The sequence below is a fragment of the Homo sapiens genome, chromosome 3 (assembly GCF_000001405.40).
Source record: "Homo sapiens chromosome 3, GRCh38.p14 Primary Assembly".
In the NCBI taxonomy this organism is placed as follows: domain Eukaryota; kingdom Metazoa; phylum Chordata; class Mammalia; order Primates; family Hominidae; genus Homo; species Homo sapiens.
This window is the reverse complement of record NC_000003.12, coordinates 75,663,258-75,679,573: the sequence shown is the minus strand read 5'-3', so window position 1 is coordinate 75,679,573 and position 16,316 is coordinate 75,663,258. Positions and strand designations below refer to the sequence as shown.

Sequence of the window (16,316 nt, the reverse complement as noted above, 5' to 3'; positions counted from 1 at the left end):
TGTGACCAACAACCATAGAATACAAAGCTCAGTATCACTGATCATTAGAGAAATGCAAATCCAAGGCACAGTGAGACACCATCTCACACCAGTCAGAATGGCTATTATGAAAAAGTCAAAAAATGACAGATGCTTGGGAGTGTACATTGGTCCCACCATTGTGGAAAGCACAACAGTGCTCTCCTCGAAAGAGATAAAAGCAGAACTATCACTTGACCCAGCAATCTCATTACTGGGTATATACCCAGAGGTATATAAATTGTTCTATCATAAAGACACAAGCACGTAAATGTTTATTGCAGCATTATTCACAATAGTAAAGACATGGAATCAACCTAAATGCCCAATGACAGGTTGGATACAGATAATATGGCACATTGTGGAGCAAAATTTAAATATTAAATTTGAACTCTATTGAACAGGGACAGAAACAATGGTCACTAAGTCCTGGAACGAGTTGTGTGAGCCCCTTGAGGCATTCATCCAGTGCTGTTTCGGAGAACTAGTTATTGAAAAACAACAGACAATGGCAAAAACAAGTTGTCCTTTTTGTATTCCTTGAGCCCAGTCAGGAAGGGCTTTCATGACCGGGCCTCCTGACAAACAACTTGTTACAAAAAGAGCTCGGTTCCCAGACTGCGCCGAAGTTTCATGGGACCTCTCCTCGTCTGTGCACGGACTACTGGTCAATTCTGGAGCCCAGGCTGTTGCTTCCTGGTCTGTTGATGAATCCTCCATAGTCTGGCGAGTGTAAAACAAAAAATATATATATATGTGTGTATATATATATACACACACACATATATATACATATATACACGTATATATATGTATATATAGATATATACGTGTATATATACATATATACACATATACACATATGTGTATATGTGTATATACACATATACACATATGTGTATGTGTATATACACATATACACATATGTGTATGTGTATATACACATATACACATATGTGTATGTGTATATACACATATACACATATATATACATATATATATTACATATATACATATATGTATATATAGATATATACATATACACATATATACATATATACATATATGTGTATATATACGTATATATATTACATATATATACACACACACATATATATATACATTTTCCCTTCTCCCCTTCCCATTACAATTTGTTTATTGTATCATTTGCTTATTATATCTATATTGCCATATACTTGTGATAAAGTCTGTTTACCCTTAAAAGTATTGTGTGTTTCTTTTCTTCTTTCCTCACACATTTCCCACACAGAACACACATATGCACCATGGAATACTGTGCAGCTATGTGTTCTCACTTATAGGTGGGAGCTAAATAATGAGAACTTATGAACACAAAGAAGGAAACAACAGACAACAGACACTGGGGTCTACTTGAGGGGGGGAAGGTGGGAGGAGGGAGAGGAACAGAAAAGATAACTATGGGGTATTGGGCTTAATACCTGGGTTATGAAATAATCTGTATAACAAGCCCCTGAGATACGAGTTTGTCTATGTAACAAACCTTCACATGTTCCCCCGAGCCTAAAATAAAACATTTTTAAATCCTTTATGAAAGCTATAAGATCTGCTTCTGTGTGTTTGTATGTCTATATGTGTTACGTGTATGTGATAATATTTTGTAAATAAGCTTGTTCTTAAATCGTTAGTAAAATAGAAATGGCTTTACAATTATCCATTAAATATAATTAGATATTTGCTTGATTTAACTGTGAGCTTATGTCTTTTGTTGAGAGTTTCTGGATTCAGGGGGTCTTGATAGAGGACCATGATGAAGTATGGAGACATGTTCTCAGTGCCTAGACCAGCAGCTAAAAGCCAGAATCAAGCCCAATCGGCCCCTTCTTTCTGTGCTTTCCCTGTTTTGCCTTCTGGCTATTTTAGGAGGGGTTGGATCCTCCAGGTATAGCCTTCACAGCTCTGTCTTTAGTCCTAATGGACTCAGGCAGGCCCTGATCTTCACAGTTTTCCTGGGTGCCATGTGGCTACTTGGGACCTAAAATTACTGAGGGAAGACATTACGGATGCTACCTGTGTCATGGTTTCAAAATTCTGTTCAGTAATTTAAAATCTTAAAGTCACGTTAAATTAAGTAATAGATAGCCATAAAATATCTTGAGTCATTTGTAAGCTAAAATAGTGAAATATTAACCATTAAAAATTAGTTTAGTTCTATATACCATGACATGTTTCTTGTATATGGTATAGAAAACCTAAATATCTTTAGTTCTGTTAATAAACAGTAATTTGAAGAACTATATTTCTTAAAAGTTGTAAAATGGTTTTTATCTAAAAATACTGATATAAGACAGTTGAAAAATAACTTTTTAGGGTTTCATTGAATATTGGGGCTCCTAAGACTTAATTACTAGATATGAGAGAAACAATTCTGCATAGAGTGTATAAAAAGCAAGATATGCCTTATTTTTCTTTTTTGAGACTGAGTCTTGTTCTGTTGCCCAGGCTGGCATGCAGTGGCATGATCTCAGCTCACTACAACCTCTGCCTCCCCGGTTCAAGTGATTCACCTGCCTCAGCCTCCCAAGTAGCTGGGATTACAGGTGCTCGCCACCACACCCAGCTAATTTTTGTATTTTTAGTAGAGACAGAGTTTCACCATGTTGGCCAGGCTGGTCTCGATCCCCTGACCTCAAGTGATGCACCTACCCTGGCCTCCCAAAGTGTTGGGATTATAGGATTGTGAAAATATGTTTTTGATGATAAAACTTATAAAGACATAAAACTGTGTTTTAATTTTTTTTTTTTTTTTTTGGTTTGAAGTTACTTAAAGGTTTCAAATTGAAGAAGTAAAAAAAACTAGATAAAACTAGATAAATATAGAAAGTTGGGGGAAAATGCAAAGCATAGGTTCACAAAAATCTGGGATTAAAAGATAACAACATTTGATAAATGCATTTATAAAGTTTTATTAAATTAGCTTTAGAGGCCAGGCGCTGTGGCTCATGCCTATAAATAAATAAAATTTTCTTGTCAATTGTGTCTGACTATGACAACTTAAAGTCATTTCCACAGTAAATTGCTTAATTCTGAGGCAGTTTCTGAAAACTTTACAAGCTTGCAAAATCCTGGAATATTGTATCTTTAAGGAGGTTCATGAAAGGATGGAGAAGGCCCTCAGAAGCACTCTTGAATACAGGTTTTTGAGAACTTTAGAATGATATTATTTGAACTGGGTAAGAATTCCCAGAACTTTAATGAAGAGACTAACTGGTTAATAAAACTGCTAACCCAAGCAGAATAAAAATCAATTGAATACCAAGAAAATACTTTGCCAGATTTTCATGCCAAATCAGCTAGTACTTAAATTGTCTAGATAAAGAATTTGAATGAACGGCGTAGTCCAAGTCAAACTATCTATGATAATCCCTGATTAGTCAGTGCTATGCACCTCAGTTGAAGAAACAGTCCAATGTTAAGCATGGAGAACCAGAATGTCTTCCTTGTCCTTCCTGAGTTCTGAAAGCTTTTCTTATTAAAAGTTCTGAATTCTGATTCTTGGGCGTGAGAGTAAAGCAAGACGGCAGAAAGAAGGCTCCACTGATTGTCCCTCTGCAAGGACACCAGATGAACAACTATTAATATCCACATAGAAAATACATTCATAAGAACCAAAGATCAGGTGAGTACTCAAAGTACCTGGTTTTAACCTCAGATCACTGAAAGAGGCACTGAAGAGACAGAAAAAACAGTCCTGAAATCACCGTTTCCTCATCCCCAGCAGTGATGGCATGCTGCAGAGATCAACTCTGGGTTCTGCGGGAGAGAGAACACAGCAATTGTGAGGCACTGAACTCAGTGCTGTCCTGTTAGAGCAGAAAGGAAAACCAGACCAAGTGCAGTTAATGCTGATCCACAGAGTGATCAATTAAGCCAGCCCTAGCCAGAGGAGAATCAGATTCCAGTGGTTGGAACTTCAGTGTTTGGAAACCTGGCAACTAAGGGCTCCCGCACTCTGTGTGTCTAAGAAAACTTGAAAGGCAGCCTAGGCCATCAGGACTGTAACTCTTAGGTGAGGCCTAGGGCTGAATGGGGCCCAGGGACAGTGGACTGGGGTGGGGAGGGCAGGCAACATACTGAGACACCAGCTGGGGCAGCCAAAGGAGTTCTGGCATTATCACTCCGCTAACACCAGACTGCACAGCTCATGGCTCCAAAAGGGACCCCATCCTTCTGCTTGAGGAGAGGAAGGAAAAGAATAGGGAGTACTTTGTCTTTCATCCTGGGCACCAGCTCAGCCACAGCAAGGTAGTGCACTGGTCAGAATCCTGCAGCCTCCTTTCCAGTCTCTGGCTCCTAGACATTCCTAGACACACCCTGGGCCAGAAAAAAACCTGCTGCCTTGAAGAAAAGAACCATGTGCTGGCAGGATTTATCGCCTGCAAACTTGAAAACCTTTGGGCTCTGAATAACCAGCAGCCATACCCAGGTACTACATCAAGGGCCTTGGATGACCCTCATAGACTTGCTAGATTTAGGTGAGGTCAGCACATTACTAGCTGTGGTGGCTAAGAGGCAAAACTCCTTCTTCTTGGGAAAAGTAGAGGGAAAATTAAAGGGGACTTTTTCTTGCCCCTTAGGTACCAGCAAGGCCAGAGGTGGGTAGAGCACCAAGCGAACTTTCAGAATCCCTGATTCTAGGACTTGATTTTTGGTTGGCATTTATGAAGCTGCCCAGGGCCAGTAGGGATCCCATTGTCCTGAAAACGCAAGTCCCAGGCCAGGCAGCATTCATCACAAGCTGACAAGAGGCTTTGGGCCTTAAGGGAACATTGGTGGTAGCCTGGCAGTACTCACTGTGGCCTGAGGTGGTGGTGGCTACCCTGCCTTTAGGAAAGGAAGGGAGGAATAGGAAGAACTATGTCTTGTGGTTTGAGTGCCAGATCAGCTGCAATGCAATAGAATGTCAAGTGGACTTCTAAAATTTTTGACTGTACTCCCTGACTTCTGAATGGCATTTCTGGACCCAGCCAGGGACTGAGGGCACTCACTGCCCTAAAGGAAAGAACACAGGCCTGGCTGGCTTTGCCACCTGCTAATTGTAGAGACCAAAGGCCTTGAGTGAACATAGGCAGTCATCAGAAAGTTCATGCAGCAGGACTTGAGCAAGACCCGATGCTGTGCTAGCTTCAGGTCTGATCCAGGGCAGTCATAGTGGTGGTGGCCAGGGGTGCTTGTGTCTTTCTTCTCCCAGCTTTAGGTGGCTTAGAACAGAGAGAAAGACTCTGTATCTTTGAGAGAAAATAATGGTAGAGAACAAGAGTCTCTGGCTAGTAATCCAGAAAATTCTCCTGGATCTTGTTGAAGGCTGTCAAGGTGGTATTTCTCTGAGTCTGGAAGAATTACAGCATTATTGGGTATAAGGTACCCCATAAAGCAGATATGGCTTAGATCACAACCTAAGCCATATTTGACCCATATTTGACCCAAGTCTTTTCAAATATGTGAAAAGTCTTCCCAAGAAAGACAGCTACAAATAAGCCCAGACAGTGAAGACTACAATAAATACTCACCTTTTCTCTTTTTTAATTTTATTTTTTAAACCTCTCATATGGTGCTGCATGCCCAAGATTTTAATGTCCAGACACTGAAGAACATCTACTACCATCAACACCATCCAGGAAAAAAACATGACCTCACCAAGTGAACTAAATAAGGCACCAGGGACAAATCCTGGAGAAAAAGAGATATGTGACCTTTCAGACAGAGAATTCAACATAGCTGTAAAAAGAAAAAAAAAACCTGAAAGAAATTTAAGATAACAAAGTAAAGAAATTCCAAATTTTATCAGCTAAACTCAACAAAGAGATTGAAATAGTTACAACAAATTAAGCAGAAATTCTGGAGCTGAAAAATGCAATTGGCATGCTGAAGAATGCATTAGAGCCATTTAATAGCAGAATGGATCAAGCAGAAGAAATAGTGAGCTTGAAGACAGGCTATTTGAAAATACATAGAAGAGACAAAAGAAAAAGAATAAAAACAACAAATCATGCCTACAGGATCTAGAAAAATAGCCTCACAAAGACAGATCTAAGAGCTATTGGTTTTAAAGAAGATGTAGAGACAGAGGCAGGGGTAGAAAAATTTATTCAAAGGGATAATAACAGAAAACTTTCCAAACCTAGAGAAAGATATCCATATCCAACTACAAAAATGTTATAGGACATTAAGCAGATTTAACCCCAAAAAGACTATTTCAAAGCGTTCAGTAGATCCTCCAAAAGTCAAAGATAAGAAAAGTTCTAAAGGAAGAAAGAGAAAAGAAACAAGTAACATACCGGTGAGCTCCAACACGTCTGGCAGCCGACTTTACAGTGGAAGCCCTACCGGCCAGGAGAGAGAAGCAATAAATATTTAAAGTACTAAAGGAAAAAAACTTTTACCTTAGAATAGCATATACAGTGAAAGTGTTCTTCAAATAAAAAGAAATACTGACTTTTCCAGACAAACAAAAGCTGAAGTATTTTATGAATACCATGTCTGTCCTAAAGGAATGCTAAAGAGAGTACATTAATGAGCAATAAATGATCACCTAAAGGTAAAAAAATCCTCACTGCTAATAGGATACAAAACAAAACACAATATTATAACACTATAGCTGTGTGGTGTGCAAACTACTCTTATTCAAAGTAGGAATATTAAATAATATCCAATCAAAAGTAATAGCTACAACAACATTTCAAGACATAGCACAATAAAATATAAATAGAAACAACAAAAAGTTAAAAAGTGACGGGATGAGCATACCTGTCCTGAGCCGGCCGATGTGGTGGAAGCTCGGAGCTCGGGAGCCGGGGAAGCCCTGGAGCGTGGGCGGAAGGGAGGCCGCCCCGAGAGCCGGAAGCCTGGGCAAGGAATGGAGGCCTCGGGCGCCCCCCAGCAACAGCAGGGCGGCGCCACACTGGTCCTGCGCGAGGCTGGCCGCCGGCGACGGCGGGACGCTCTGGGAGGTCGGCGGAAAGCGCAGCGCCGCGACTGGCGGTGCTTAGGCTTAGAGGGGGAGAGCAGCCCGGCCACGGGCAAGCGGCTCCGGGGTGCCTGATCCCAGCCTCGCGGCCCCGGGTTGGTTATGACGCCTGGAATCAGGCGCGCGTATCTGGACCCGGCTCTTGGGCCAGCCAGGGGCCACTGCCATTGTCCACGTCCATACTACCCTGAACACGAGAGAAACCCAAGCGGCGGCCCGTGGGCACGCTCGGCGCCACTGCTCCCACCACAGGGACAGGCGCACTCGACAACTTTCAGGGCCCACAGCACCAAGAGGACAGGGAGGAGCCAACAAAGGAATGACGCTAGGAAACGCACGCCCAAAGCAACCAACCAATCCAAGTAAAAACACGTCTCAGGGCTCCGTTGGTTTTCCCGCGTGGGCGGCCCTGCCCTCCTGTTCTAGCCCGGCCCAGGCACCCTCCACCCTACCCTCGCCAAAGGGTCCCCTGTCTACCAGAGCAGAGCCTCCCTCTCCAAGGCTCTGTTGCTCCCCCTCTCTAGCTCCCTCACCCTCTCCCTTTCTCTACTTCCCTCTCCACCTTGCTCTCTCTCTCTCTCTCTCTCCCTCTCTCTCGCAGTTTCCCCGTCCCTCTCTGTCTCTCTCTCTCTCTCTGTCTCTCTCTCTCTCTCTCTCTCTCTCTCTCTCTCGCAGTTTCCCCGTCCCTCTCTGTCTCTCTCTCTATCGCTGTTTCTCTCTCTCCTTCCGTTTCTATCTCTCCATCCCTCTGTCCCTTGCTCTTCTTCAAGCTGTCTGTGTCTTTGTGTGTCTGCGTGTATGCTTGTGTTCCCGCGCGTGCGCCCGTATGTGTCTGTTTGGGAGTGGGTTTGCTAGTGATTGTGGTGGGGTGTGTCTGGATGTCCGTCAGTACCTTTGTCCTGGGATCAGGCTGCCAACTCTATTGCCAGCGCGTGGGTGTCATAGTTGCCGTGATAGTCTCACACACGCAGGTGTGTGGATCTCGTTCATTTTCATGTAGACAATGAGAGCGAAAGCACAGAGAAAAAGAAACGTCCCGTGCATCACGGCCTGAGGATGGATTCCTGTTTTCTGCAAAATGGGGAGTCTTCGATATAGCCTGTTTGAAAACTGGAAAGGAGAGCACCGACACGATGCTGGTCTTCCACGCATTCCTGGAAGTTTCTGGGTCCCCACAGAGCTCGGGAAACAGTCAACATGGTCACGCTTTCCGGGGGCGGCAGAGACTTGAGTAACAGGCACCTTTGCAGAGAGCAAAGAAACGTGGAATCCAGAATCACGCTTCACTTGGCCTGAGCGTGACTTCTGTGTGGATGGGACTATCCGCCTCGCGCTCTGTTGCAGGGCTAAACGTGGGGATATGTCATCTGTGAACCATGTGGATGAAAAACAGACAACCACCCGAGTCTCCGCTCATTGCTCTCTGGGGAATTCGCTCATTCCTTCGGAAACGGAATTCGTCTGAATCGCTCTGGGATGAAGTAACCCAGGCTGGCGATCCGGAGGGCCGCTGAGCTCCCCACCGGCCAACGGGGCTGTGGGCCCAGCACTTAGCCCGCACTGGGCACCCAACATTTTCCCGGATTGCTGGGTCCTGTTGGTTCTGGAGGCAGAAGACCGTTTTTCTGTCTGCCTTCGGTTCTCTGTTTCTTGCTCCTTTTGTCCCTCGGTCCATCCTGCCCTCTGTTCTTCCCTCCCTGCCCTGGTTTTTTCCTCCCTTTCTCCCTCTCTCCCTCTTCCTCTCCCTTCCAGGGTCCCTCCGTCCATCCATCCTTTCCTAGCTCCATCCTTCCGTCCCACTCTGTCTCCGTTCCTGTCCTCATCTCTGCCTGCCTTCCCTCTTGCCTGGAAAGGGCAGCACCCCGGTTTGCGCGGGGTCTCGGGTCTACATTTAGTTGCAAGGCGCTCCATGGTGCTGGCGAGGAGGCTGGTGGGACACGGGTTGGCAAGTGATAGTGAGAGAAGAGGCAGAGGAATCGAGCCGCAGAAAGGAGAACTGGCCTGGCTTCTGCCCCGACCCAGTGTTTCGCGGACTGAGGTCTCCGCCAACCCGACTGAAGAACGCGGGGGGAAAAGGGATGCGAGCTCCGCCTGGGCTGGTTAGAAAACCTAAGCTGTTGCCTGCAAACCCCCGCATGAGCAGTAGACAGTCCACCTCCCGGTACGTGGACGGGCCCTGGGATCCCCGGGATGCTCAGGAAAGAATGACAGCCCTCCTCTGTGTGGAGTCTCTCGCCGGACCTGGAACCCAGGGATCCTAGACAGGTCAACTGGAAGGGAAGACACGCCTCTCCATACCGAGCCAGAGGTTCACCGCCAAAGAGAGGCCGCCGCCCTGCCCCCGCCCCGCCCCAACCCGGCGTCCTAAAGCTCCTCCAGCAGAGCCCCGTGTTCTTCCTGGCTGAGGAGTGGTTCCAGCGGAGCAGGCTCTTCCACCTCCTTCAGCTCCCCCAGTGACACCGGATCTAGGAAAGGTTGTGCCTTTTGCTGAAAGTCTGGGGTTGACGGGAGCTCATCTAACAGGCTGGAGGTGAGTGCAGACGAGCGCCCCGGCTCCTGGAGCGGTTGGGAGGCGCCTGGATGGCTGGCATCTGTGCTTGACGCAGAGGCCTCCGGGGTCGCGAGCTTCGGAGGTGGAGGTGCCCCGTCTTCGGGTTCCCACGCCGCCCTGGCGACCTGGGGCTCCAGCCCCACCGCGGACTCCGGTGGGACGTGGGTGGCGCAAGCACACCTTGCCCCTGTGACTCAGCTTGAGGGGGCCCAAGCTGTCCCACTGAGCACGCGCCCAGCAGGCCGTCGCGCTGCGGGTCCTGGTCCTCCTGTCATTTACTGGGGTGCGGAGGCCTCCGAGGAGTCTGAGGGTGGGACAGTCCCACTTCCGGAGGAGCTAGGGCAGGGAACACAAAGTCCCGAGTGCCGGGGCAGGTTGGGAGATCCCCTCTGCCGGCGCGGCCTGGCTGGGCTGGAGCACGGGGACGGCCCTCGCTCCCTGGCTCCCGAAAGCCCCCTGTGGGAGAGCCCCAGGCGCGCAGGGCACGTGGGATGCGGGAAGCCCCGTTCCCCACGCCCCGGTGTGGGCGCAGGCGACCCACGAGGGAGCAGGGTGACACCCGCTGGGGGCCGCGTTGCACAGGCCGCCTGCGTGCGCGGGCGCCCTGCCACCCTGTCCCGGGTGCCTGGCCCTTCGATTCTGAAACCAGATCTGAATCCTGGACTCCGGGAGGCCCGTCTCTCTGGCCAGCTCTTCCCTGGCGGCGATGCCTGGAAAGCGATCCTTCTCAAAGGCTCGGAGGAGCAGGGCGGTCTGGGATCCGGTGACGGCGGTCCGCTTTCGCCTGCCTTCTTGCAGGCCGCGTCTCCCGGGCCAGGGCCGAGATTCCCGCCGGTGCTGCCTCAGCTGGCGTGACCTCTCATTCTGAAACCAAATCTGGACCCTGGGCTCCGGAATGCCGATGGCCTGGGCCAGCCGTTCTCTGGTGGCGATGCCCGGGTACGGGTTCCGCTCAAAGCAGGCTCGCAGGACCTCGCTTTGGCTCGGGGTCCAAACGAGTCTCCTTCGCCGTCCTCGTCCTCGGGCTTCCGCGGGGAGGGTGCTGTCCGAAGGTGTCGGGAGGGCCATCGCGGGGAGCCCCGGCCGGAATTTCACCGACGGACACGGGCGGAGAGAGGCCGGCGGGCTCCCGTGCACCTCAGCCGGCCTCTGCGCTGCAGGCAGGTCCAGCCAGGAGGCCCTTAGTAAGACCTACCACCTCCACCCCGTTATGAACATGCATGAACTCGGGGCCCAAGGTCCCGGGGTAGCCCGCCCTCCAAAGCCGAAAACCACAGGGACCAGGGCCTTGTGGGGTGGGTGGGTGTAGGGCCAGATTGGAGGGGAAAAAGGGGCTTCGGGGGCTGGCACTCTAAGGTTCTCCAGTAATTCTATGGAAACTGGAAGCCGCTGTCTTGACTCCCACAGTTTTCAGGCAGAAACCACCCTGAAGGGTGGAGTGTGGAACTGAACTTCCATGACAGTCTTGAGTTTTCCATGCCCTCTCCGTGAAGGCGGCAATGCCTGTGGGTGTCGCCGTTGCCGTGATAGTCTCACACACGCAGTGGTGTGGAACTCGTTCATTTTCATGTAGAAAACGAGAGCGAAACTACAGAGAAAAGAAACGTCCCGTGCATCACGGCCTGACCACGGATTCCTGTTTCCTGCAACAAGGGAAGTCTCCACTGTGGCCTGTTTGGAAACTGGAAAGGAGAGCGAAGACAGGATGCTGCTTTTCCACGCTTCGCTGGAGGTTTCTGGGTCCCCACAGAGCTCGGGAAACAGTCAACATGGTCACGCTTTTGGGGGCCGGAGACACGTGAACAACAGGCCCCCTTGCAGAGGGCAAAGGAACGTGGAACCCAGAATCATGGTTCACTCGGTCTGAGTGTGACTCTTGAATGGACGGGACTATCCACCTCGCGCTCTGTTGCAGGCTCAACGTGGGGCTATGTCATCTGTGAACCATGTGGATGAAAAACGGACAATCACCCGAGTCTCAGCTCACTGCTCTCTGGGCAATTCGCTCATTCCTTGGGAGGCGGAATTCGTCTGAATCGCTCCGGGATGAAGTGACCCAGGCTGGCGATCCGGAGGGCCCGTGCGCGCCCCGCAGGCAGACGTGGCTGTGGGCCGAGCACTCAGCCTGCACTGGGCACCCAACATTTTCCCGGAGTGCGAGGTCCTGCTGGTCCTGGAGGCAGAAGACCGCTTTTCTCTCTGCCTTCTTCTCTCTGTCTCTTGCTCCCTTTCTCTCTCTGTCCTTCCCTTCCTCCCTCCCCCCCCACCTCCCTTCCTCCCCCTCCCTACTTTCTCCTTTCCAATATCCCTCTGTCCATCTGTCCTTTTCTCGCTCCATTCCTCCCTTTCTCTCTGTTTCTGTTCCTCTCCCCATCTCTATTTTTCAACATTATATGATCCCATTGTGTGTATCTGTGTTAACATTTTTAGCAATAAAGTTCATTTTCATTAAGATATGTATATTGTTATTTAGACATGTTATTTATGTGTGTGCATTTGTTTAATAGACATAAATTTATTTCAGAGTTATTCTACAGCATAGTGTAAGCATAACTCATAAGCAGTGTCAACCCAAAAATTGTGTGACTCGCGTTACTGTGATTCTTTTATACTGCAGTGGTCGAGAATAAAATCTCTATATCTCCAATTTATATCTGTGTATTACCATTAAATTGGCCCCATTTCCTGTAGTGATAGAACACTATTCCCAGACTATGACAAGAGCTGTGGGCTGTGGGGAGGTCAGGGTTAGGATGATGCAGAAGTGAAGATAAGACATTCTCTTTTTCACATCTTTATTAAATACAAATTCCATATGAAAGAAATTTAAAATTCCAAACAACATTAATGTTTATTTCATTATTACATAAAATGAAAATTATAAAGCAACCAAACAAGTCATTAATACACTTAGATAATGAAAGATTGTATGATCTCAGTACAAAATACAAGTAGAATATACGTCAAATATAACAAAATACACTGTATTGTAGTATGTGATGAAATCTCCATATCCTGCAATACAGTACAATCAATTGAAATGTATGAAATACAATAAAATATAAATTCAGGATGTTTAAAATGAAATAAAACATGAGGCAGATGAATAAATAAGTACAATCATTTACCATTTAATATATCTTGACTTAAATTTTATGTAGAAATATTAAAAGTAAACAGCTTGCATAGTAATTTTACTATGCAAACTGTAAAAATGTATAAACATTTTCCCACAGGGAGTGCTATTAATGGTTTGTGGATGTTAGTACTCCATGGGTTCAGGCTGGAAGAGCCTACAACCTTTTCCGAATTAAAAGAGAAGCAATTTCTTGGTAAAGCGGCTCATGCCTGTAACCCCACCACGTCGGGAGGTGGAGGCTGGTGGATCACTTGAGTCCGAGGCCAACCTGGCCAACGTGACAAAACTCTACTAACAATACAAGAAAAAAACATTAGCCAGGCATGGCGGTACATGCCTGTAGTCCCAGCTACTTGGGAGGCTGAGGCATGAGAATTGTTTGAACCCAGGAAGCAGAGGTTGCAGTGAGCTAAGATTGTGCCACTGCACTCCAGCCTGAGTGACATAGCAAGACTGTCTCAAAAAAAAAAAGAGCATATAATTTTATATTTACTTTTCTACAATCTAAAATATGAAAATTCACGATTGCAACCTAATATTTTTCTGATTATATAGAAATGCACGACTGTCATCAGACATCCAAAAGGTATCAAATGTCTAACATGAAATATAAAATTTGTCTATAGCCTTAGCGGTCTGCAAAATTCAGGGCTCACCATTCTGAGTATACCGCTCAAGTTTCTTTCCTATGACTTCTTCAGGTTCTGTCATTTATTAACACAGTGCATCTAAAATTGTCACTGCTGGTCGTCTGGAAGAATCTGAGAAGAAGCAGGTCCTTGTTCTCATTCCCAGAGCTGCATCTCTGCTGAATAGGGTCAGGGTGCTCCCAGCTTAGCCTCATCTGATCCACTGACAGGCTCAGTTATCTCCTGCCCAGGGAAGGGATGGGCTTCTCTATCCAGGGCTGAATCCCCAGGACCAGGCAGTGTGGCTGGGACAAGCCAGCTCTCAGCAGGGAAGACATAAGCTGCCTGAGTGGCCATGGAATACAAGGTCTGCACCTGGGCACACAGAGGCCCCCGGAGCCGAGTGAGCAGTGTCAGCTGCTCACAGGTCAGTGGAGAATGGATCTGCTGTGCCCACACCTGGGCTAGGTCTTGATAAACAGCCTCCGACATAGCTCGCACAGAGGTCACCAAGCTTTTTCGAAGTGACGGTGTTTGGACTTCTAGGGCCCGAGACCTATGCCGCTTGCTGCGCCCAGTGCAAGCCCTGGAACTTCCCCTATGGTGGGCATCACAGGTCTCCTGGATTTCACTGTTGTGCACAGCAGTGGAGGATCTTGATTTTTTATTCAACGTCAAGTTGCACTCCTCTTCTGGACAGTTCCCTGCAAAGAAAGCATGTGAGAGACTCACCAGAGCAGTCCCCACAGACCCTCATTTCCAGAACCCCCTGTGCACCCAGGTGAACCCCATTTGTCTCTCCCACTCCTTCCTGACCATCTCAGGACTGGAATGAAGTGAGGCTGAACCACTTGTGAGTCCCCAAATATTCTCAGAGTGCTAGGATCTCAAAAATTTACTTGTCAATAAGTAATTCCCTTTCCGCTCAAGCCTCGTATAAAAGTTTCCTGATTATTTGCCTTTTGGGGCAAACCAAAAACAAAAAAACCACCACCACCACCAACAACAACAAACACCAAGATTCTACCTGCTCTGTCTTGGCAGATATCCTTGGAACTGATTTTTCTTTTCCTGCAGTTTTCCTGATATGAGCTGGACTCTGGTTCTGTGAACACAATGAGAGTTTGAGAAAGTGCCTCCAACTGAACACCCTGAAATTCCTAGTCCATCCTGGACACACAGGAGCTGAGGTTACCGCCAAACCCCAGCTCTCTTCTGTTCTCCAGTGTCCAGGATCTGTACTGCCCTGGCTGCCAAGGAGCTCCCAGTTTCCTTGCCAGGGGAGCCTGTGTTGCTGCCCTGTCCCTTCTCACCTTGAAAGAGTCAAATCTTACCTGATCCAGCAGTGCTGTTCCCGGCCTTGAGCTTGGTTTCCTCAGAATTCTCCTTGTTTGGATTGGGATCTGATCCTGCTGCAAGAGAAGGTTTAGATGGCTCACCTCTCCCTAGGCAGAGTCCCATAGTCTATCTCTCATGCATTTTTGAGAATCAGTCTTTCATGTGAAGCTCTTCTGCCAGTGTCATGAGTGAACACATTTCTCAAAGTCCCCTAAGGGCACTAAGCCATTTCCCATCCCCAAATCTCAAAATAAAACCCTGCTAAAGACACATAGCTCAGTATCCCTGATTCCAACCCTCCTTCCAGCCTCCATAGGAGCAGCCCAAGGCCTTACCTTGCCTTTGTGTGTGCTTCTCACTGGAATGGGAGAAGGCGGTCTTGCCTTTTCCTTTGAATGGTTTCTTCTCATCTGAGCCCTTTTCTGTAAAGGAGATCTGTTGGAAAGGGGGCTGGTCAGTGGAGCACTGGATGGAGGAACAGTGGAGATCGGGGTCTTCATTTCCCTTTCCCATGTTGAAGCTCAAGTGAAAGGTGCGCTCTCTCACATGTCCAAAGGCAGAGTGTGGGTTAGTCTGCTAGACCTGCCTTTTATACGTCCCTCGGCTGGGCGTGGCTTACTCTTATTGGCTGAAGAGTTTTCTCATTCCTGCCGCTTCTTAGAGCCTCAATCAGAAGTTTCTTGCTGTAGTTCTACTGGGGACCTAGACACAGTTAAGGGGAGACATTTTCAGGATCTTGTCATAGTGTCAAGAAAACAAAGAACCGGGAGCACAGGGACCGGAAGATCAGGGAATCATTTCTTCCGATTTCTGTCCCAGTTCCTACCTGGAGGTATTTATGATCCTGTTCACCTTTCAAGATGCACAATTAAACATGTCTATATTGACATATGTTATATATTTTGCACAGAAAGAGAATTTATTATACATAGTGTTAACGTTGTATGCATAGATATTATAATTTCTTAAATGCTTGGAAACAACAAATGTCAAATTATGGTTGAGTCTATTAGATCCACACATAGATGATGAAATAAAAGTGCAGAGAAAAAATAAATACCAAATGAAATGGCCCTTCCTACCTTAAAAATGGGGAAGATAATTAGATCAAATGCAATAAAATTGCATTGATTAGGTTGAGCCAGTGCTAACCTAATCAGCCCCTGATTCTAGGTGGAAAAACTTTCCCCCTTTCTCACCCTTCCTCAGTCATCCTGGGAGGGCCATTGTGTTCTGTGGAATTTATTCAGCCTCCCTAGTAAAAATGGACTTGGTCGCAAACAGGTAACCCAGCTGATCACAAGAAAAACAGCCTAGATTCTAAACATTCAGCTCCTGTCTTCACACCGCAGACACCACCTGAATCCCGTCAAAGCCCACATTATTTCTCAACAACCACCATATTCCAGGGCAGCCTCTCAAAATTGCCTCAGTGAGACGGGACAAAGTGTGGTGGAGCTCCAGGTTCAGAATAGCTGCCTCATCCCTTCCTACTGCGGCGGAGTCTGTCTCTGCTGGTCAGAGCCCTCCAACTAGCCTAGGCTACGTCCAAGCAAGTGTCCCCTAAAAGGACCTTCTTCTCTCCCCCTCTGCTGAGGAAAGCATGCAGGAATGAGACTTTCTATGTTAGGGAGT

General features: G+C 47.2%; 1 protein-coding gene, 1 long non-coding RNA gene and 1 pseudogene across 4 annotated transcripts, besides 2 other annotated features; all 3 read right to left on the bottom strand.

Annotated features, from left to right (window-relative positions):
* Positions 1-270: 270 nt before the first annotated feature.
* On the bottom strand, positions 271-7,293 carry LINC00960 (long intergenic non-protein coding RNA 960). Of its 2 annotated transcripts, NR_040004.1 has the most exons (6): positions 6,805-7,183; positions 6,336-6,380; positions 5,568-5,727; positions 3,694-3,810; positions 3,446-3,606; positions 271-741 (listed from the first exon to the last, which is right to left on the bottom strand). It is a non-coding gene; the product is annotated as a long intergenic non-protein coding RNA 960 (long non-coding RNA). The 2 variants fall into 2 exon arrangements; NR_040005.1 differs by lacking the exon at positions 3,446-3,606 and having other exon boundaries at positions 6,805-7,293.
* Positions 9,180-10,643, bottom strand: DUX4L26 (double homeobox 4 like 26 (pseudogene); annotated as a pseudogene).
* Positions 9,585-10,084: an enhancer, noted in NCBI's record as "OCT4-H3K4me1 hESC enhancer chr3:75718641-75719140 (GRCh37/hg19 assembly coordinates)". NCBI's record gives its function as "activates a minimal SCP1, AML or CMV promoter by ChIP-STARR-seq in naive and primed H9 embryonic stem cells {active_cell/tissue: H9 hESC(naive and primed)}" and the evidence as "EXISTENCE:reporter gene assay evidence [ECO:0000049][PMID:30033119]".
* Positions 10,085-10,586: an enhancer, noted in NCBI's record as "OCT4-H3K4me1 hESC enhancer chr3:75718139-75718640 (GRCh37/hg19 assembly coordinates)". NCBI's record gives its function as "activates a minimal SCP1, AML or CMV promoter by ChIP-STARR-seq in naive and primed H9 embryonic stem cells {active_cell/tissue: H9 hESC(naive and primed)}" and the evidence as "EXISTENCE:reporter gene assay evidence [ECO:0000049][PMID:30033119]".
* On the bottom strand, positions 12,401-15,246 carry FRG2C (FSHD region gene 2 family member C). Of its 2 annotated transcripts, none has more exons than NM_001124759.5 (4): positions 15,017-15,246; positions 14,678-14,755; positions 14,371-14,448; positions 12,401-14,047 (listed from the first exon to the last, which is right to left on the bottom strand). In NM_001124759.5, the coding sequence occupies exons 1-4, from the start codon at positions 15,192-15,194 to the stop codon at positions 13,533-13,535; spliced, it is 849 nt and encodes a 282-aa protein (NP_001118231.1). In that variant the 5' UTR covers positions 15,195-15,246; the 3' UTR covers positions 12,401-13,532. The 2 variants fall into 2 exon arrangements, with proteins under 2 accessions (NP_001118231.1, NP_001397704.1); NM_001410775.1 differs by having other exon boundaries at positions 14,678-14,752.
* Between the last annotated feature and the right edge of the window lie 1,070 nt (positions 15,247-16,316).

Bases quoted from the DNA above. Each gene is read 5' to 3' on its own strand.
- FRG2C (NM_001124759.5), bottom strand. From the start codon at position 15,194: ATGGGAAAGGGAAATGAAGACCCCGATCTCCACTGTTCCTCCATCCAG. The intron at 14,449-14,677 runs GTAAGATTTGAC...TTGTGTTCACAG, and splicing joins GAACAGCACTGCTGGATCAG to AACCAGAGTCCAGCTCATAT. The intron at 14,048-14,370 runs GTAGAATCTTGG...CTTTCTTTGCAG, and splicing joins TATCTGCCAAGACAGAGCAG to GGAACTGTCCAGAAGAGGAG.